The sequence below is a fragment of the Homo sapiens genome, chromosome 2, assembly GCF_000001405.40.
Source record: "Homo sapiens chromosome 2, GRCh38.p14 Primary Assembly".
NCBI lineage: Eukaryota > Metazoa > Chordata > Mammalia > Primates > Hominidae > Homo > Homo sapiens.
The window spans coordinates 55,118,122-55,140,254 of NC_000002.12; the positions used below are offsets into that span (position 1 = coordinate 55,118,122).

The 22,133-nt window shown below is 44.5% G+C and overlaps 1 protein-coding gene across 1 annotated transcript in view, besides 3 other annotated features; it reads right to left on the reverse strand.

Annotated features, from left to right (window-relative positions):
* The window catches only part of RTN4 (reticulon 4), a 165,643-nt gene extending 145,933 nt beyond the window's left edge, over positions 1-19,710 (reverse strand). The window contains exon 1 of the mRNA NM_001321904.2: positions 19,313-19,710. The gene's annotated coding sequence lies outside the window, so the exon portion shown is untranslated. The remainder of the gene's footprint in view (positions 1-19,312) is intronic.
* Positions 15,539-16,451: an enhancer, noted in NCBI's record as "OCT4-NANOG-H3K27ac hESC enhancer chr2:55360796-55361708 (GRCh37/hg19 assembly coordinates)". NCBI's record gives its function as "activates a minimal SCP1, AML or CMV promoter by ChIP-STARR-seq in naive H9 embryonic stem cells {active_cell/tissue: H9 hESC(naive)}" and the evidence as "EXISTENCE:reporter gene assay evidence [ECO:0000049][PMID:30033119]".
* Positions 15,753-15,942: an enhancer, noted in NCBI's record as "active region_15774". NCBI's record gives its function as "activates an Ori minimal core promoter by ATAC-STARR-seq in GM12878 lymphoblastoid cells {active_cell/tissue: GM12878}" and the evidence as "EXISTENCE:reporter gene assay evidence [ECO:0000049][PMID:35858748]".
* Positions 15,772-16,066: an enhancer, noted in NCBI's record as "tiled region #647; HepG2 Activating DNase unmatched - State 4:PromP, and K562 Activating DNase unmatched - State 5:Enh". NCBI's record gives its function as "activates a minimal TATA promoter and a strong SV40 promoter by Sharpr-MPRA in HepG2 and K562 cells {active_cell/tissue: HepG2 | K562}" and the evidence as "EXISTENCE:reporter gene assay evidence [ECO:0000049][PMID:27701403]".

Sequence of the window (22,133 nt, forward strand, 5' to 3'; positions counted from 1 at the left end):
TTTGGATAGCACCGATCTAGTCTACTCTCAAAATTTTGCCCCATCTTTTAAAAGACACCCAGGGCTGGGCATGGTAGCTTATGCCTGTAATCCCAGCACTTTGGGAGGTCAAGGTGAAGGATTGCTTGAGCCCAGGAGCTCAAGAACAGCCTGAGCAACATACTGGGACCTTGCCTCTACAAATATTTTAAAAATTAGCCAGGAGAAGTGGTGTGCCCCTGTAATTCCAGCTACTTGGGAGGCTGAGTTGGGAGGATCGCTGGAGCTCAAGAGGTCAAGGCTGCAGCGAGCTGTGTTCACACCATTTCACTACACCCTGGGCAATGGAGCAAGACCCTGTCTCAAAAAAAAAAGACACCCAGGAAGAAGTTTCACATGATAAAGGGTATAGAATATGGTCCTCTGCTTCTAGTGGACAGACTATTGAATCTAGTTCACGATTCTTTTGTAAAACAATCCTCCCTGCCCCCCAAAACACACTCACACACATGCACAAACTCCCTCTCAACTTTATCAATTATCTGTGTCAAGTTGAATCTTCACCAAACCAGGAGTTAAGTCTAGTGGATTCTGAAGCCATGCAACCAGCCATCAGTGCAGAGGGAAAAGGACAGAAAGGCCCTAGCTCATGGAACCCTGAAAAGAGACTGCTCTCTAATGCAGATGAGGACGCAACCGTTCTGTTCCCTGCTGTTCTGATTGCTATCAGGCTTCAACCATCAGATATGGGTCCCTGACAATTTATCAGGAAGCAAGCAGCCTGCCTTTTCTCCTGTCTAAATTCTGCATTCTATTTCCTTGTATTCTACACAAAATGCAAAACAGCAGCTAAAAATAGAAGCTGAGGTGCTAGTGAGGCTGATTTGTGTGTGAAGAAGGCAGAGAGATATCGGGGGAAGAATTCAGAGGAGAGCTGCCTGGGGCCCCTTCCTGAGCTGTCACAGACAGCAGCCTGGAAAAGAAATACAAGGGAAGGAGACAGAGGTGGGAGGCTGGATGGACTGCCCAATTATTACACCTGCAGAGAATCCTTGCGGGTTTTTTGGGCTCCCTAAAAGCGCCCTGACCTATTTTTTGAAACGTTTTTTTCCTTATTCGTCAAAATACATTCTCAGTGAATTGCAGTCAAGTTTCCTGCAATTACTCAATCTAAAGTTTTGTTTTCTACACTGGGAGCTATAGTCTATGCCTCTACGTATAATGGTAATATACTCAACAGTACCAGGCTGACGATGGATAGGGTGAATTTCTTAAAGTGGCAGGGAAGCTGCAGTTTTAAATGAATCCACCTGAAAAGCTTTGAACAAAGCCTTGAGTCTATTTAAGAACAGAGAGCTCGTGTGATAGCTGGCTGGCTTCATCCCTTAGATAGGGGACACAGACTTATTGGATGCAAGTATAAAAGCCTTATAGTAGAAGTAAATTTCATAATGCCTTGGATTTATAGAGCACTTTTCTTCATAGAACTTGTATTCTCTGGGCAGAGTGACCAGCCCAACTTGGAATCTCGCTTAGCCATAGTGAAAATGATGAAAGTATTACAGGGGGCAAAAAAGCAAAAGATCAGGGAGAGAAGTCAATAGTTCCCCAGGGATCTCCCAGGGCAACCTTGCTCCCAGACTGCTGGAGCACCACTAGGATCTAGGGCATGTGGTTTCCACAACCACCTCCTCCTCCCTCATGTCATAGGGCTGTTGAGAAAACGGGATTAGCTACATGGCCAACCCATAATTATGCAGGGGTGGAGGAGTCAGACCATTGACCAGCTGGCTTCTCATTTCTCCTTCTCTCAGCTGCTCACCAGCCTCAGATGCAGGAGGGTGAAGATGGGATTCCCAGAACACCTCTCCATTTGCTCCCATGAACTGGAAAAAAGCGCAGTCATTGCAAGTGACTGTAAAATGCAAACCCATGCCTCGCTGTGGGCTGCGTGAGGCCCAGACTGGCCCACGGCACTGAGAGGTGGGGTGGGTGAATGATTCCCATGCCCACTCTGGACACCCAGGCCTTGCCTTGGCAGAACCTAAGGAGGGGCTGAACAGCACAGCCGCATCTCTGAAGAAAGCAACCCTGTGTCACCCCAGGCAGATGCTGAGGCCGAAGGAAGCAAAGGTTCTTAGAAGGAAAGCAATGCTTCCTGCCCCCCTCACTTTAGCTCTCCGAAGCCACTTTTCCCAGCAGGTTTCCCCCTATCTCCAGCTCACCAGGGTGGGCACAGACAGAAGGAAACTCCTGGCTGGGCACCCTGGCAGGCTCAGGGAAACTAGAGCCCAGGCTTGGGCCCTGCCTTGCCAACCTTCCTCCGGCCCAGGCTTTACAACGGGCCCTTCCTCCAAGCTGGGGCTGGCCCCCAAACCTCTCACTGTCCCTCCATTCTGCTTGTCCCCTTTCAACTGCTCAGCAGTCAGAAGACGAGCAGGAGATCTTTAACAACTTGAACCTGACCAAATTAAGTTTGAGATGGTTTAAATAAATGTCCAAATGAGTTTTCTACATTTCTATGCTTTCTCTAACTCCCATTCTCAAGCAAGTGAAAAAATGTCTCTGAGTGAAGCCCTCAAGCTCTGACTGAGAATATAATGTTGTTATTATTAGAGCAACGGGGAAGGAGACATGCCATCTCCAGGCAGGGCTCGGGCGGGCTGTGTGGGAGGCGACTGTCAGCAGCTGTTGGGTGGAAAGCTTATTTATTGTCAGCAGCCTGGCTCAGAGATTAAGAAAAGCTCGGGTCTCCGGCTTACACACACATAGCTGCAGGCAGCAGCTGCTCCAGACATGGCATTCAACCACAGGGGTCCCCAGGGTCTCCTTTCAGGGTTAACTTGACCAATAAGGAAACCCTGGTGGCCACCAGGACAGCTGGAAAAATTCCCATGGGGCCACAGAACCAAATACCCCCAATAAAAATGTTCAGCATCCAATGCCTTCGCCAGACTAAACCCAAGAACCCAGAATCAGCCTTGAATCCCACACAACAGCAACAGCTCTATGTCCTGAGACTGTTTTCCAGTCATTCACCAAATACTTATTGTGCAGTGTCTGACAGACACCATACATGGGACTGGAAATAGACCAATGAATGAGACAGTCAGTCCCGATCCCTGCTCTCAGGGAGCTCACAGTCTGGTAAAAATTACCTGCAGTTAAACTGGTAAAAAATCTTGTGTTGAGTATTATGATAGAGGAAGCTCAGGGAGCTATGAGTACAACATCAGGAAAAATCTAACTGACCACAAGGAATTGCCCTGGTAAGAAAACCATCACTAAGAGATACTGTGAAGTTTGGGATTAGGGTCTCAAGAGACGTCAGCCCAAGACCATTACCACTATTTCTCCTTCTTCAGCTAATTAAACTTTTAGCTAATATCTACCCATTTGATTCATGTTCTGTTTATTACCAGTCTGTTGAACAGAAGGCTCTGGGAAAAGATAATTATAATCATAGAGCATCTATCAAAGTATCCAGAATTTTCTGGGAAGCATGACAGATCCTTTTATCCACTGAGGTCATTATTATTATCATGCTATTGTCATCGACCATTATTCTTACTCTTCCTCTGATGATGACAATTACCAGGGAAGGAGGAAGGAAAATGGGATTTGAGTGAGGTACCAAGGGGACTTAAACTTGAACAGTAATGTTTTCTTTTTTATAAAATAACCTGAAATAAATATGCCAAAATGTAAATATTTATTCATTCAGGGTACCGAGAACATGAGTGCTTGTCATGTCATGTTACTCACTGTACTTTTCTATATTTAACTTTTTTTCTGAAAACATACAGAAAAACAAAAAGATTGCTAGAGTACATAACAAAATTTTAGCCGTATTTCTGCTAGGTGGGATTTCCTATTTTTACTTATCTGTATTTTCTTTTTTCTTTTTTTTTCTTTGAGACAGGGTCTCACTCTGTTGCCCAGGCTGGAGTGCAGTGGTGTAATCTTGGCTCACTGCAGCCTCAACCTCCTGGACTCAAGCGATCCTCCCACCTCAGCCCCACAGGTAGGGGCCCCCTCTAGATAATTTTTGTATTTTTTATAGAGAGAGGATTTTGCCATGTTGCCCAGGCTGGTCTCAAACTCCTGGACTCAAGCAATCCACCTGCCTCGGCCTCCCAAAGTGCTGGGATTATAGGCATGAGCCACTGCACCCGGCCTTGGGTTTCCATTTTTCAGAACATGTTCCTGATTTTTACAGGTTCCCCGACTTAGAGTGCTTTCCGGCTTACAACACCAAGAAGTCATTACTTCCCCACCAAGGTTTGCACACATGGCCCTGACCAGAGCTGGCTCCATGGGCCTGCAACCTGTGTAGTCATTTGCACAAGCCCAAGGCTCCAAAAGAACCCCATAGTTGGTTTAATGTCCTGTGGCTATTGTCTGAAATTCTTAATAATTTTATCTTTGAACTTGTGTTTTGTAAGTGACGTCTGATGAGACGATGGAGCAGGCATGTGAGCAGGAAGATAAGCTGGCAGCAGTCCATGCACACATGGGTCAGTCCTATGGGCACAAGCAGGCAGTGTGCTGGGCAGCACCCAGAAACAGAGCTGAGCCCAGATTAGTGACAGTGGTGGTGGGGACAGCAGAAGCTGAGGTGGCAATAGTGGCCACAGCCCCAGAAGAGGTAGAAACTCCACATGGAAGCACAAGGACAGAGATGGGAGACCTGCACACACACCCATCCCCAGAGCCTGTCCCTGCACCATCTGCACAAATAATAACTCTCCAGCCAGAGCCCTGGGACAGGAACTGCCAGTGCTCAAGCAGTAAACCTGGTTGTTAAATTAGTTAATACCACAAAATACAAATGTACACATGGACATTGCAATAAAGCATATCAATCAGAGTTATTAGAATTCTCCAAAGAGTTTGGAATCTCTAGTTTTAAAATTATTACAGCACTGCAAATCCAATATCCACAGACTTAGAAATAGAAATTAAATTTAGAGACCATTGCATCAGCAGAAAAAGCATCATTTTCTAAGGAATAAGCCAATTATTAACCACAAAGAAAATAAAAAATTAATTTATATAATGGAAGATAAAGCAATAGAATGCATAAATAGGCATTTTTAACTACATATAAATCATGAAACCACTTTTGATTCTTGTATGACCTCAGCAAGTTGCAAAAAATGCCAAAGGAAACATTAAAGTGTCACTCATAAATTTATATTTGAAATTAAATTCATACTTACTTGAAGGCTATCATCAACTCTAAATGTACTAAAATTTATATTTTAAAATAATTTATCAGAAATTTACCCCAATGCTGTCCCAGCCTATAAAATATACTTAAGAGCTCCAGTAACAATTGCATCAGCAGAAAGATTATTCTCAAAATTAAAAACTATCAAAAATTATTTGAGATCTTGTATTTGCCAAAAATGACTGTCACTTTCAATTATATCAATTGAAAATGAAGTTGCTAAAAGTAAAACTTTTGATGACCTCATAAATGAATTTGCAAAAAAGTAAGCCAGAAAAATCTTATGATCAAGATATCACATTGATAATTATCACTTATTATATTATATTATATTATACCATATGACACCAAAAGTGGATTTTTGCATTTGTAAGTTTATATTGTTACTCGTGTAACACTATTATGCCTATTACGTTTATAAGTAACAAGATCTTTTTGAAAGAAAAAGTTTATGTAAAGTACCTTTAATAGCACTTTTCTTTCCTAATTTTTGAATAAGGACTCTGCATTTTCATTTTGCACTGGGCCTTGCAAATTGTGTAGCCAGCCCTAACCAGGACTATTCAGTCACCACCTCCCTTTGTAATGAAGTCCAGCATCTCTCTGTAAGGCAGCTGGTCTTGGGAAGTAAAATGGCCCATTCAGGGATGGACTAAGGACTTTGTATCCTTATTGTACTGGCCCACAGCTGAGCAAAGGCAAAATAATGCAGAAACCAGTCACAGGACTCTTCTCCGTAGACCACAGTGGAACTGCCAGCCCCACACATAGATGCTGCAGCAAGTTTGAGCTGAGAGAATCACCCTAATCCCCTCTCTTTTGTCAGTATCCTTCTCTGATGAACTTCTTCATTCTTTTGGGGACACACCACGGAACAAGACTGAATTCCTGAGGAGGGGGCATAGCATAGGGTGTATTGAGGCCCCAACAACCAGTTTCTCAGTCTTTCCGTCTAGATCCAGTTTGATGGCTCCTGGTTTGTTACCTAGAAGCTCTCACAGGGACACTTAACCAAGGAGGCAAAGTCTCTGATAGATAAAAGCCTTGCAGGCATGTAAGGCTAAATCAAAGGAAAACAAAGAGGTGGCCTTCAAACCAAGAGCCAAATCAGAAAGGCAATCCCATTCACAATTGCCACAAAAAGAATAAAATACCTAGGAATACAGCTAACCAGGGAGGTGAAAGATCTCTACAATGAGAATTACAAAACACTGTTCAAGGAAATCAGAGAAGACACAAACAAATGGAAAACACATCCCATGCTCATGGATAGGAAGAATCAGTATCATTAAAATGGCTATACTGGCCATAGCAATTTACAGATTCAATGCTATTCCTATCAAACTACCAACAATCTTCACAGAACTAGAAAAAAACTATTTTAAAATTTATATGGAACAAAAAAAGAGCCTGAATAGTGAAGGCAATCCTAAGCAAAAAGAACAAAGTTGGAAGTATCACATTATGCAAGTTTAAATTATACTACAAGGCTACAGTAACCAAAACAGCATGGTACTGGTACAAAAACAGGCACATAGACCAACGGAACAGAATGGAGAGCCCAGAAATAAGGCCACATATCTATGATCATCTGATCTTCAACAAAACTGACAAAACCAAGCAATGGGGAAAAGACTCCCTGTTCAATAAATGATGCTGGGATAACTGGCTAGCCATATGCGGAAGATTGAAAATGGACCCCTTTCTTATACCATACACAAAAATCAATTCAATAATGCAGACTGCTGCACAAAACAAAAGAAAAAAATTCAACTAAAGATGAATTAAAGTCTTAAAAGTAAAATGCAAAACTATAAAAACCCTGGAAGACAACCTAAACAATACCATCCTGGACATAGGAATGGGCAAAAATTTCATGAGAAAGACACAAAGAGCTATCGCAACGAAAGCAAAAATTGACAAGTGGGATCTAATTAAACTTAAGAGCTCTGCACAGCAAAAGAAACTATCAATGGTAAACAGAATGGGAGAAACCTACAGAATGGGAGAAAATATTTGCAAACTATGCATCTGACGAAGGTCTAATATCCAGCACCTATAAGGAACTTGAACAGATTTATAAGAGGAAAACAACCCCATTAAAAAGTGGGCGAAGGAAATGAACAGATACTTCTCAAAAGAAGACATATGGCCGGGTGCGGTGGCTCACGCCCATAATCCCAACACTCTGGGAGGCCAAGGCAGGCAGATGACTTGAGGTTATGAGTTCGAGACCAGCCTGGCCAACGTGGTGAAACCTTGTCTCTACTAAAAATACAAAAATTAGGTGGGCACGGTGGCACATGCCTGTAATTCCAGCTACTCACAAGGCTGAGGTGGCAGAATCGTTTGAACTCAGGAGGCGGAGGTTGCAGTGAGCCAAGATCTCACCAGTACACCCCAGCTTGCATGACAGAGCAAGACTCTGTCTCAAAAATTTTAAAAAAGCCAGGCACGGTGGTTCATGCCTGTAATCACAGCACTTTGGGAGGCCGAGGTGGGCGGGTCACCAGGTCAGGAGATCAAGACCATCCTGGCTAACACAGTGAAACCCCATCTCTAATAAAAATACAAAAAATTAGCCAGGCATGGCAGCACATGCCTATAGTCCCAGCTACTTGGGAGGCCGAGGCGGGAGAATGGTGTGAACCTGACAGGCAGAGCTTGCAGTGAGCCGAGATCACGCCACTGCACTCCAGCCTGGGTGACAGAGCGAGACTCCGTCTCAAAAAAAAAAAAAAAAAAAAGGTCCGGGCATGGTGGCTCATGCCTGTAATCCCAGCACTTTGGGAGGCCAAGGAGGGCAGATCACCTGAGGTCAAGAGTTTGAGACCTCATGGAGCCTGACCAACATGGAGAAACCCCATCTCTACTGAAAATACAAAATTAGTTGGGTGTGGTGGCGCATGCCTGTAATCTCAGCTACTGGAGAGGCTGAGGCATGAGAATCGCTTGAACCTGGGAGGCAGAGGTTATGATGAGCCGAGATGGCACCATTGCATTCCAGCCTGGGAAACAAGAGCAAAACTCCGTCTCAAAAAGAAAAAAAAAAAAGAAGACATATATGCAGCCAACAAGCATATGGAAAAGAAAGCTCAATATCACTGATCATTAGAGAAATGCAAATCAAAACCACAAGGAGATACCATCTCACACCAGTCAGAATGGCTATCACTAAAAAGTTAAAAACTAACAGATGCTGGTGAGGTTGTGGAGAAAAGGGAACACTTATACGCTGTTGGTGGGATTATAAATTGATTCAACCATTGTGGAAAGCAGTGGGGCAATTCCTCAAAGAGCTAAAAACAGAACTACCATTCGACCCAGCAATCCCATTATTGGGTATATCCCAGAGGAATATAAACGATTCTATCATAAAGAAACATGCATGTGAATGTTCACTGCAGCACTGTTCACAATAGCAAAGACATGGAGTCAACCTAAATGCCCATCAGTGACAGATTGGATAAAGAAAATATGGTACACACACACCATGGAATACTATGCAACCATAAAAAAGAATGAAATCATGTTCTTTGCAGCAACATGGATGCAGCTGGAGGCAAATTAATGCAGGAACGGAAACCCAAATACTGCATGTTCTCACTTATAAGTGGCAGCTAAATAATAATAACTTATGAACATGAAGGAAACAACAGACACTGGGGTCTACTTGAGGGGGAGAGTACGGGGAGGAAGAAGAGTAGGAAAGATAACTATTGGGTACTGGGCTTAATACCTGGGTGATGAAATATTATGTATAACAAACACCCATAACTCGTGTTTATCTATGTAACAAATCTTCATGTGTACCCCTAAATCTAAAATAAAAGTTTAAAAGTAACCTTTAATTAAAAAAAAGAAAGAGGTGGCCTTAGAGCCAGGAGCCCAGGACAAAAGCTGCCCCAAGAGGTGTTCCGCTGTTCTTCAGAACAAGACAGGACAAAAAGACTCAGGCTGACAAGATGATCACCTTTGGATGATTTCGTTTCATTTCACGCTTGGGCAGCTTTCATAAGAGCACAGCCACAGATAGGATTTTACTCTGGTCCTGAACACTGGTTCTTCTCCAACTTCCACTACCTTACAATTTGACAACTTGATCATTTCCTGTCTTGTCCTGTTTTATGTTTCTACATGTGTACATCACAAGCTCTTTGAGGACAGAGACCATATCCTCTTCTTCATGTGTCCCCAAACGCTAAGTCCATATTATACTTCTTAGAGCACATACAACCGACTTTCCCATTCATCACGTCATCCATCCTCATAATACCCCACACAAGCTGGGGTAATTCCCATTTTCAGAGAGGAGATTGAGGCCTTGGCTCACTGATTGGCTCACAGTTTCATAGCTGCCAAAGGACGGAGCTAGAACACAATCACAGATGTCTGATTCTGTTCCACTGTTCTATTGTACCTCTGTGGAGGGGGCCATTTCTAAAAGAACAGACATTCCCCCAGAATCACTCTTTCTACACCCTACCTAGCATGGTGCATTACAAATGCAGATACTTCAGTGAAACCTTGTAATGATAAATGCTTTTGTGTTTGGCATCAGAACCACACCTCTCTGTGATGGCTTTTTTTTTTTTGGACACAGGGTCTCCCTCTGTTCCCCAGACTTGGAGTGCAGTGGAGCCATCATGGCTCATTGCAGTCTCGACCTCCTGGGCTTAAGTTTTCTTCCATGCCTGGCTAATTTTTTTATTTTTTGTAGAGGCGAGATCTTCCCTTGTTGCCCAGGCTGGTCTTAAACTACTGGGCCTCCCAAAGTGCTGGGATTATAGGCATGAGCCACCGCACTGGGACTGTGACTGTTTTTTCCACTACATGGCAGCTGCCTTTGAGGACAGAGCATGTCCTCAAAACTACTCCTGTTACACTTATCTGCATTGTTCTGGGACTGCTGTGTCAAGGAAATTGCAAGGAAAGGATGGAACTCTCCAAAAACTGGGCCTTCAGGGTGGCCTCACATTTTTTTTGCACCCTCCTAGGGTGGAAGACAACAGCAATAGCTTAAAGCTCTCTCTCTAGACTTGCTTCTGGTCATGGTGACCATCCATGCAGCCATGGCTTCTGTGCATTGCTCTCTCCGATGAGGAAAACGTGGAGTTCTAGACCCCCAGAGCAAACTCACTCCACTTGCGCTTCTCTCCTAAGTCCCGAAGGCCTACCAGATTCTGTCCCCTGGGGACAGTCCCAACTCACTGCAACCTAAAAATGGTTTCCACATGTTTATAACCATGGGATAAGGAAGGCCTTCTTAAGAAAGGCACAAAAACAAGCCAGGAAGATAAAAGGATTAAAAACCCAGGCAACATAGCAACTCACAATTCAGAACAATGAAAGATATAGGCAAAGTTAAAAAGACAAGTGACATATTAAAATATCTGAAGCAGGTATTACAAGCAAAGAACTAATATTCAGTATACCAGCAATCCCTACAATTCAATAAGAAAAAAGAAAAAAAAAAAGGGGTGGGAGAGAGGGCTGGGCACGGTGGCTCACGCCTGTAATCCCAGCACTTTGGAAGGCCGAGATGGGTGGATCACCTGAGGTCAGGAGTTCGAGACCAGCCTGACCAACACGGTGAAACCCTGTCTCTAATAAAAATACAAAAAATTAGCCAGGCGTGATGGCAGGCGCCTGTAATCCCAGCTACTCGGGAGGCTGAGGCAGGAGAATCGCTTGAAGCCAGGAGGTAGAGGTTGCAGTGAGCCGAGATCGCGCCACTACACTCCAGCCTAGGTGTGACAGAGCAAGACTCCGTCTCAAAAAAAAAAAAGAAAAAAAAAAGAAAAGGGGGTGGGAGGCAAAGGATATAAAGAGGCAATTCACAATAGCAGAAATACAAATGGCCAACAGCAAAGGAAAATATGCCAAATCTCACTGTAAACATATAAATACACTTAAATACTAAATTATCATTGTTTTCTCATCAGATTAGCAACCATTAGTCTGGGCCAGTGACTCACACCTGTAATCCCAGCATTTTGGAAGGCCGAGGCAGGCAGATCACTTGAGCCCAGGAGTTCGTGACCAGCTTGGGAAACATAGAGAGACTGTGTCTCTCTACAAAAAAAAACTTTAAAAATTAGCTGGTAGTAATAACACATAGCTGTAGTCCCAGCTACTCAGGAGGTTGAGATAGGAGGATTGCCTGAGCCTAAGAGTTTCAACGTTACAGAGAGCTATGATTGCACCACAGCACACAGACTGGGTGAGTGACAAAGCAAGACTGTTTTTTTTTTGAGATGGAGTCTCGCTCAGGCTGGAGTGCAGTGGTGCTATCTCAGCTCACTGCAACCTCCACCTCCCGGGCTCAAGCAATTCTCCTGCCTCAGCCTCCCGAGTAGCTGGGACTACAGGCGCTTGCCACCACACCCAGCTAATTTTTTGTGTTTGTAGTAGAGACAGGGTTTCACCGTGTTAGCTAGGATGGTCTTGAGCTCCTGACCTCGTGATCCACCTGCCTCGGACTCCCAAAGTGTTGCAATTACAGGCGTGAGCCACCGTGCCCGGTCAACTCGTCTTTTAAAAAAAGAAAAAAGAGTAGGAATAATTAGAAAGACTAAAAATGCCCAGCACTGGAAGTTAGGAGGACAATTAGGTTGCATTAAATTTTAAAATGTGCATGCTCTTTGATCCTACATTCTACTTCTAATGTCTAACCTTGAGAAATACTTTGCACATGTGCCTGAAAAAGCATGTACAAAAATGCTAATTATAAAATTGTTTGTGAAGGCATAAAATTGAAAACAACCTGAATGTCCTCTAGTAAAGGCATGGCTTAATAAGTTATGGAACAGTCATATTAAGGAATATTATGCAGCAATTAGAAAGACTACGTTGTTCACTGAGTGCTGACATGGAAAAATTTCCAAGATGTATTAAGTGAAAAAAGTGAATTGTTTAACAATATGCACAATGTTTATGTTTATATTTAAACATGTACACTCCCCACTAAACCATACATTTCTATAGGACATACAAGTATTTGTAAATAGAAATACATCTGGAAAAATACATACTAAGATGGCCAAAAAAAAGTATGTGAGGTGATGGATATGTTAATTAGGTTGATTGTGTTAATCATTTCACAATGTATACATATATTAAAACATCACATTGGGCTGGGTGTGGTGGCTCACGCCTGTAATCCCAGCACTTTGGGGAGGGTGATGTGGGCAGACTGCTCGAGCCCAGGAGTTCGAGACCAGCCGGAACAACAAAAAATACAAAAATCTCTACGAAAAATACAAAAATTAGCCAGGCATGGTGGTGCATGCCTATATTTTCAGCTACTTGGGAGGCTGAGGCGGGAGGATCTCTTGAACCCAAGAGGTGGAGGTTGCAGTAAGTCAAGATCTCACCACATTTACAATAGATCTTGCCAAATTTTACAATAATTGAGGCTCTGAGAGGTAATTTGCCTGAGGTCACAGAGCTATCAAGTAACACAGAAGGGTTTCAGTTCATGTCTGACTGATTCAAGAGCTGCCATGAAGGGAGGTGGCTTGCAAAAACTCAAGAAGATGATCCAGACAAAGAAAGATTAGAGCAACAAAAAGAAGGTATTAGGAAGGTAATGAATACCACTCTCCTAATAGTAGGTTGGAACAGAGATGTCCAAGAGTCATGCAAAAGTCCTGGGCCCCCATCTGTCTTCAGTGTACAAAGGAAAAACAAGCACTTAATTCACTACGTATTGTATGATGATACTTTTAACAAGTTTTGTTTGTTTTGGGGGGTTTTTTTTGACATAAGTTCTCACTCTTTCACCCAGGCTAGAGTGCAGTGGTACAATCTCAGCTCACTACAACCTCCACCTCTTGGGCTCAAGTGATCCTCCTTTTAACAAGTTTTGTTTGTTTTTTGGGTTTTTTTTTTGACATAAGGTCTCACCCTTTCACCCAGGCTGGAGTGCAGTGGTGCAATCTCAGCTCACTACAACCTCCACTTCTTGGGCTCAAGTGATCCTCCTGTCTCAGCCTCCTGAGTAGCTGGGACTACAGGCATGCACCACCATACCCAGCTAATTTTTGTATTTTTAGTAGAGATGGGGTTTTGCCATGTTGCCCAGGCTGGTCCTAACTCCTGGAATCAAGTGATCCTTCCTCCTGGGCCTCCCAAAGTTCTAGGATTACAGACGTGAGCTACTGCACCCAGCCTAAAGTATTTTTTAATACTTTTTAAAGCCCCAAACATTCTTTTACCGGTTTGAACAAACCAGTGGTAAAAGATATCAGAAAAACTGAAAACATTGGCAGGGCACGGTGGCTCACACATGTAATCCCAGCACTTTGGGAAGCCGAGGTGGGTGTATCACCTGAAGTCAGGAGTTCGAGACCAGTCTGACCAACAAGGTGAAACCCTGTCTCTACTAAAAATACAAAAATTAGCCGGGCGTGGTGGTGTGCACCTGTAATCCCAGCTACTTGGGAAGCTGAGGCAGGAGAATTGCTTGAACCCAGGAGGCGGAGGTTGCAGTGAGCCAAGATGGCACCATTGCACTCCAGCCTGGGCAACAGAGCGAGACTCCATTTCAAAAAAATAATAAAATCTGAAAACATTATTACATATTTCTTTTTTTATTACATGATATTTTAACAATTACTGTTAACTGTGTTGGTTGTGCTAATGGTATACCATGTTTTATCAGAAGTCCTTATGTGTTAAATATCTGCTCAAGTATTTATGGGGGGAATGATGTGACACCAGAAATTTGCTTTAAAAACATTAGAACTGGCAACAAAACAAAGTAGAAGCTGGAGGAAATCGGTGAAACAAGAATGGCAGTACGTTAATTGCTGAAGCTGGGTGATGGGAATATGGGGATTCATTACACTATGCTCTCCACTTTTATGTGTGTTTGAAACTTTTCGGCCAGGCGCAGTGGCTCATGCTTGCAATCCCAGCACTTTGGGAGGCTGAGGCGGGCGAATCACCTGAGGTCAGGAGTTTGAGACCAGCCTGGCCAACAGGGCGAAACCCCGTCTCTACTAAAAATACAAAAATTAGCCGGGTGTGATGGCACACATCTGTAATCCCAGGTACTCTGGAGTCTGAGGCAGGAGAATTGCTTGAACTTAAGAGGCAGAGGTTGCAGTGAGCCAAGATGGTGCCACTGCACTCCAGCCTGGGCAACAGAGTGAGACTCTGTCTCAAAAAAAAAAAAACCTTTTAAATTAAAAGGCAAGAGTGATGGTTCATGCCTATAATCCTAGCACTTTGGGAGGCCAAGGGAGGCAGGCTGCTTGAGCCCAGGAGTTTGAGACCAGCCTGGGCAACATGGTATACCCCTGTCTCTACAAAAAATACAAAAATTAGCCGGGCATGATGGTGCATGTGCCTGCAATTCTAGCTACTTGAGAGGCTGACGAGGGAGAATCACCTGAGCATGGGAGGTGGAGGCTACAGTGAACCGAGGTCTTGCCACTGCACTCCAGCCTGGGCCACAGAGTGAGACCGTCTCTCAAAAAAAAAAAAAAAATTGAAAATTAAAAATAAATATACCGATCATTTTAGGAATTAGTTCTCACTCTCCAGTTTTGTTGTTGTTTTTTTTAATTATTATTATTTTTAAAAAACATGGCCGGGTGTGGTGGCTCACACCTGTAAATCCTGTACTTTGGGAGGCCGAGGCAGGTGGATCACTTGAAGCCAGGAGTTCAAGATCATCCTGACCAACATGATGAAACCGTGTCTCTACTAAAATACAAAAATTAGCCAGGTGTGCTGGTGGGTGCCTGTAATCCCAGCTACCTGGGAGGCTGAAGCAGGAGAATCACTTGAACCCAGGAAGCAGAGGTTCCAGTGAGCTGAGATCACGCCACAGCACTACAACCTGGGCAGCAGACTGAGACTCTGTCTCAAAAAACTAAAACTAAAAATAAAAAAATTTGTGGGTACATAGTAAGTATATTTATATATGGGGTTCATAAGATGTGTTGATACAGGCATGCAATGTGAAATAAGCACATCATGGAGAATGCGGTGTTGTCTTTTGCTTGTTTACTTTTTATTTTTCAGTTTATTTGTTCCCTCTCCCTGCCTTTTTTTTACTTGCAAAAGCAATAAATACTTGTAAAAATTGTCAGAAAGGTATAAATCTACTTCCCAATAATACGGGAGGACTGTGTCATGTGTATTTCTTGTAACCTCCTCCTTATGCAGGATACTGCCCACACCGGTATGTGTTCAGTTCAATTCCGTTAGAACTACTGTTCCTCACAAGGCTGTAAGGTACCCTTGAGGTGTCTAGTCCAATTCCTCCATTCTATGGAGGGAGAAACTGAGGCCCTGAGAAGAAGGGAAACTTAGTTAGGGACCCTGAGCTGGTTAAGTGACAGAACCATAAATAGCTCTCACCGTCCTTAACATAGCCCCTGCCAGATAACCCCTAAGGAGACCCAGCAGCCACACGGCTGATAAAGCCACTGCTTGTCAAGATGTCACAGGGTGAACCCCAAAATTGGGGTTCAGCCCAGGAAGTCATGTGGGTTCTTGGCTCCAAACAGGAAGAGCGAGCCAAGAGAGCAAAGTGAAAGCAAGTTTATTAAGTAAAGGAATGAAAGGGTGGAGAGTCCACAGGCAAAGCAACCCCAAAGGCTGCTGGTTGGCTATTTTGATGGTGATTTCTTAATCACATGCTAAACAAAGAGTGGATTTTCATGAGCTTTCTGGGAAAGGGGTGGGGAATTTCCACAACTGAGGGTTCCTCTCCCTTTCAGACCATATATGGTAACTTCCAGACGGTTGCCATGGCTTTTGTAAACTGTCATGTCGCTAGTGGGCATTTCCTTTAGTATGCTAATTTATTATAATTAGTGTATAACGAGCAGAGAGGACAACCAGAGATTGCTTTTGTGGTCACGTGGGTTTTGATTGATTTTCACTTGCCTCTTTACCGCATCCTGTTTTATCTGTGGGGTCTTTATGATTTGTATCTTGTGAACTCCTATCTCACTACCATCAGCATTCCCCTCTTCCCCCCACTCCTCCTGACCTCTTGACAGAAGCTGAGGAAATGGGAAAGCAGATCCTAGACTTGGAGAAGGTCTGTGTGGGGTCCAAGGCCACTCAGTAATAAGACTCCCCCAGGTCCAAAGTCCAGAGACAGCCCCCAGACTCACTCCATCTCTCAGAGGCTGATGCCCACCCAGCAGGCATTCACCTTAGCTCAGAGCAGCACCAATTTCCTGCATGCAGTCAATAAAGTGCAGTTTGCTTCCTGACATAAACAGCTGTTCTCAGAAAGCAAATATGCAAAGAGAATATTATTCTTCAAGTTTAAATGAGGAAGAAGAAAGGGTGGGTGAAGCGGGAGGTGGGAGCTTACACAGAGTTCTAGGTTTATAATCTAATTCTCCAGAGCCAGCCTCTGACCTGCAGCCCCCTGAGTGCCCAAGCTTTTTGGGCCCACCGAAAAGGGCTCTTGAGGCAACTCAAAACCGCTTCAGAAGTAAATGCGAGGAGTTACTTACTCAGGGTTTGCCCAGTCCTGAGGAGGAAACAATTCTGATCGGGGCTTCACTAGAGGGTCTAGATCTCTGCTGTCCAACATAGTAGCCACTTGTCACATGTGTCTGTTGAGCACTTGAAATGTGAGTCGGAAGTGAGCTGGGCTGTAAGTGTAAAATGCACATAGCACCAGGCATGGTGGCTCACACCTACAATTCCATTTGGGGAGGCCAAGGGGGAAGGATCACTTGAGGCCTAGAGTTCAAGATCAACCTGGGCAACATAGTGAGACTCCATTTCTATTAAAAAAATGTTTTTAATGCACATAAGATTTCAAAGATGGCACAAAAATAATAGTTTTAAAATCTCACTAGTAATTTTTATATTGATTATATGTTTGTTTTTTTGGTTTTTTTTTTTTTTTTTGAGATGGAGTCTTGCTCTGTCACCCAGGCTGGAGTGCAGTGGCTCAATCTTGACTCACGGCAACCTCCGCCTCCCAGGCTCAAGCAATTCTCAGGCCTCAGCCTCCTGAGTAGCTCGATTACACGTGCACACCACCATTCCTGGCCAATTTCTGTATTTTTAGTAGAGATGGGATTTCACCATGTTGGCCAGGCTGGTCTCAAACTCCTGGTCTCAAGTGATCTGCCCACCTCAGCCTCCCAAAGTGCTGGGATTACAGGCGTGAGCCACCATGCCCAGCCTCAATTATACGTTTAAAAGATAACATTTTCAATATATGGTGTTAAAACATTTAAATCATTCTGCTTCTTTTTTTACACTTTACTGAAGTATAATTGGCACACAATAAACTGCACAACTTGGTAAGTTTTGACATGTGTATATACAATACCATGAAGCCATCATCACAATTAAGATAATGAACATCTCCGTCAACCCCAAAAAGTTTTCTCATGCCCTGCTGTAGTCCTTCCTGCCAATCCCCCATCCCTAATTACTGATCTGCATATGGAGTTTGCATTTGCTAGAATTTTATGTGAATAAAATTATACAGTAATATATATTTTTTACTGCTTTAACTTAGTTTAATTATTGTGAGGTTCATTCATGTTGTTGCATGTATCAGTAGTTCATTCCTTCTTATTGCTGAGTAGTATTCTATTATATATCATAGTTTGTTTATCCACTTGTTAGAGCAGTTAGCTAGGCAGATATGAGCAAGGCAGGAGAGGGCCCCCACCTCCAGGCATGTTAGGTGACCAGCAGGTGGTTGTTAAACTGTCTCTCTAAAATAATAATTGGTCACAGCCAGTGCCAGAGCTTAAAGGCAGTCTCCCAATAGATAGAAAACACCTAAAGCTGGTGATCAGCCGCTTCCTGATAAGATCTCAGAAGTTGGGTGAGTGGGCTCAAGCATGTACACTAAGAAGCAACAGGGCAAAGTTTCACTGGTCTATAACCTTCCTCCAGGAACACTCAACTGATAAGGGAAGAATACCTCAAGTGAGCATGTGCAAAACTTCAATAAACACCTGTGCACACGGCCCCTTCCAGGTGCTGGCAGGCAACTGTGCATACAGACAGCCCACCCCAAGGGAAGAATCAGGGGAGCAGAGACACAAATCCCAGAACCATGCCAATTATAAAACCCCAAGTCAAAGGCTAAACAGCATACTTGGACTCAAGTCGCCCGCTTGGCCCTCTTCCAAGTGTACTTTACTTCCTTTTGTTCCTGCGCTAAAACTTTTTAATAAACTTTCACTCTTGCTCTGAAGAGTCTCTCACCACACCTTATGTCCCTCAGATGAATTCTTTCGCCTGAGGCGGCAAGAATCAAGCTGCCACAGACCCATATGGATTCACTGCTGCTGATACATTCACCTCTTGCTGGGCATTGGTTTGTTTCCAGTTTGGGTCTACTGCAAATAAAGTAGCTATGAACATTTGATTACCTGTTTCTTTTAACGTTGTTTAAAAATGAGGTTACTAGAAAATTTTAAATCTGACTCGCATTATTTCTATTGGACAGTGCACATCTAGATTCTCTTCCAGGCTGTCCACTTCCCTGAGTCAGGCAGACTGCCTACTTAATTGAATTCAGCAAATCAATACCCTGGGCCAGGTACAGAGTGGGGAGCTGTTGTTACAAAGGTGAACGGCCTGGGGAGACCCATTTCTGTCCCCCAGACTGGCCTTTTACCAGGTACAGTCTCAAGGAACTGGCAGTCCTGCGGAGGAGAGAGACGCATAAACCATCACCTAGAATTTAACAGGAGAAGCCAGGGAGAGATGCATAAAGACAGGGCTCTGGCCAGGCAGAGGAGGAAGCACGCACTTCCGTCTGGGGAGCTGAGGAAGGTTTCCCAGGAGATGATCTTTGAACTACATCTTAGAGGATGAGAATTCACCAAGCAGAGTAGAGGGAGTGTTTCTAAATGCAGAAAAAGGAACTGAAATGCCCCAGGGCAAGGCAGCTTCCAGGAACTGGAGACTAAGAGCAAAGAGGAGGGCATGAGAAGAGGAGGGCATGAAATGGGGGTGGCTGGAAAGGAGGCCAGAGAGGGGGCCAGCCATGCCGTGCTGAGGGTGACCTCTATGCAGTGACGCTACGGAGTCAGGAAAGAGCCAGACCAGAACCACACTTTAGGAGAACATAGGAGTAACGAATACCTGGACCACGTCAGTGGGAATAGACAGCAGGGACTAAATTCCGGAGCGTTCGGAAGCAGACTGTGCAGGAAATGGTGACTGACTAGATGGGAGTCATGTGGAAGGGCTGGATTCTGAAATCACGGCGGCTGCTGCTCCTGGGTAGATGCGTGCCTCTCTTGCCTGGACTCTGACTACAGCCTCCCCACAGGTGCCCCCTCAACCTGTCCAGACCAACCACCCCACTGCTGGCACAGAGAGAGTTAAACTCCCTGAGTGTCTTCTACCAGCTCAGTCTCCCCCATGGCGCTCTCTCCACCTCCGACCTCTCAGCTGTAGCCTGAAATCTCATTTCCCTTCACATGGGCACAAAGCTCTGGGCAAGCGGAACCTGCCGCAGGCCTGTGCAGCGTGGTCCTGCCAGCCCAGAGCACTCCAGCGGCTCTCCCCATTCCCCCTACTGACCCCCCTGCCGCTCCGCAACCGCCCCTCCCCCTCCCCACACCGCAATAGTGCATGTCCCTCCATCCTCATGTCCTCTCAGCCTATGTGCTTGGTTACACAGCTTGACCTAGACTGAAAAGCCTCCTCCCCTTCCAGGCATGGTTTGGAGGCTCCTTCTCCAGAAGCTCTCCCTGAGGCCTCTAGACCCATGAGCTCCTCTGCACCTTGGGGCACACTGTACACTGCCTTTTATAACCTCCTTCATGCCCACCAAACCATGACTCCTTGAGGGCAGCATCTAAGTCTTTTCATTTCTGGAACCGGACTGCCGGAGATAGAGATTTGAAAGTAATCTGAAGTTGGCAGGAATTGCCTTACGAAAGCTGAGATAAGGATGAGGGAGGGGCCCCAAGGACAAAGCCCCCTGCATGCACCAGGATTTCTGACCCAATACAGTGGTGAGAAGAGGTCTTTCCAGATCTTTCCAGATATAATCATTGCTCTCTATTCTGAAAGTCGTAGGGAAGGCTTACTTTGTCGAAGAGGAAAACAGCTATATGGAGACAAGAAAAAAACAGCAGGAGTTCTGGGCCTTTGATGCTGTGACCCCCTCCCTTCCCTTCCATCCTTGCTCTCTGAGACCTTGGCTCTACAAGCCTTTTAACCAGAGAGAGGAGTCTCAGATGAGCCAGCAACGTGAGGAGAGAAACCTCCTTCTACGGTTCTGCAGAGTCTTTCTTTCTCTCCATGGATGTATAAACAATTCAACAGCACATGATAAAAGTGAAGGGAGGGGAGAGCCACATTAATTTCCTTGAGGCAAATGATAAGCTGGCAGAATTGGCTCCATGGAAGGAGATAAAAGCTCCAAACACGGCTGAATGACTCTTGGGATTCGAGCCTGGTACGGATGCAAATTAAAATAAAAACTATATAAACAGCAGCACAATCGCACCATTCAGGACTCCTTCATTAGCAGCCAGCTCTCCAGTGCCACTACCCGCAAAGACAACTTCCCTTTCTTCTTCCTTCTAACTAATTTCCAAGCTGGTCAACAAAAGGATGCTAAGGACAAAAGCAGTTATAATTGATGAGGCTTTGGGGAGAGGGTTGTTGGGGAGATTCATTTTATGTGTGCAAATCAAAAAGCAAATGTGATGTGTCAGACCAGCTGAGGACAGGCCTCCTGCTGAGGTACCAAGTTCCTCCTCTCAAAGCTCAGGGCCGCTCGGGCTAATAACCCAACGGTCACATCCACTAATTCAGGCCTCCTGGTGCCCAATAGAGCCAACTTCCCAAAATGCTGCCTTGTATAGGGGGACCCCGTTTGATAGCCAGGCCCACGATGCAATGACACACTGCCATAAAGTACAATAAAGAGTACCCGCCTCTACTCTTCATGGCAGAGGACAAAGTTCATCCATTGTATTATCATGAAGCATCATTACGTTGGGCAGTCATTTGGTTAAGGAGACACGGTTTCCCCAAGTTCACCTCTTGTTGAATGTTCAGACTCCAGGAAGGACACTCTGCTCACAAACTACAGGTTTCTCTCATTTTCTTGCCATTTGGTCAGCATTCCCAGTCACCCCCAGCTGCCTCTCCAGGCACCTCTTCAAATCACAGAGCGTTCCCCCATGTCTTTCATCCACATGACCTGCTCTCTAGCCACGAAGATTTCTTGGCTGTTTCAGGCTCCTCCCCCAGCTTGAAATTCTCCCCTATTTTCCCACTATCCATCCCCTAAGCCTCATAAGCCTCAGTTCTCTCCCTTTAAAATGGGGTAATAATCCCTGCTCTACTCCTCTCATGGGCTATTGGGAGACTCAAATGAAATGAGAGACACAAAAGCAACCATACATGGCATAAATATGTTGACAGAAATGTCTTAACTGAGGCAATAGCACTGCACCATTTAGTGACTGCCAAAAATCTCTATTGTAAAATGAGAGAATTTTTTTTGCAATGAACAGAACAAATTAAGATCCTTACATGCCAACTACCAACATGAACTTTCAGCATTTAAACATTTTGAAAACCAAAACAGCCAAAGCGAGCCATGCCCCACCTTGGCCCTTCAAGGCCTGCCCCAGGGGATCTCACCTGCGCATGCCTGCTAGTCGCCCTCCACCTCACCCAGGTTACAGCTTTCAGCTGTGCTGCTCTGACATCAGGTGAAAGGGCTGGTGCCTGGGAGAGGAAAAGACCAAAGAGAATAGTGAGGGTGCGAGGATTTCTTTTCTCTGATTGTGAATGTTGCATTGCTTTGCCCCATAGAGAAAATTCTATCATTTAAGAAAAGGACAGCTGGGCACGGTGACTCATGCCTGTCATCCCAGCACTTTGGAAGGCCAAGGCGGGCAGATCATGAGGTCAGGAGATCGAGACCATCCTGGCT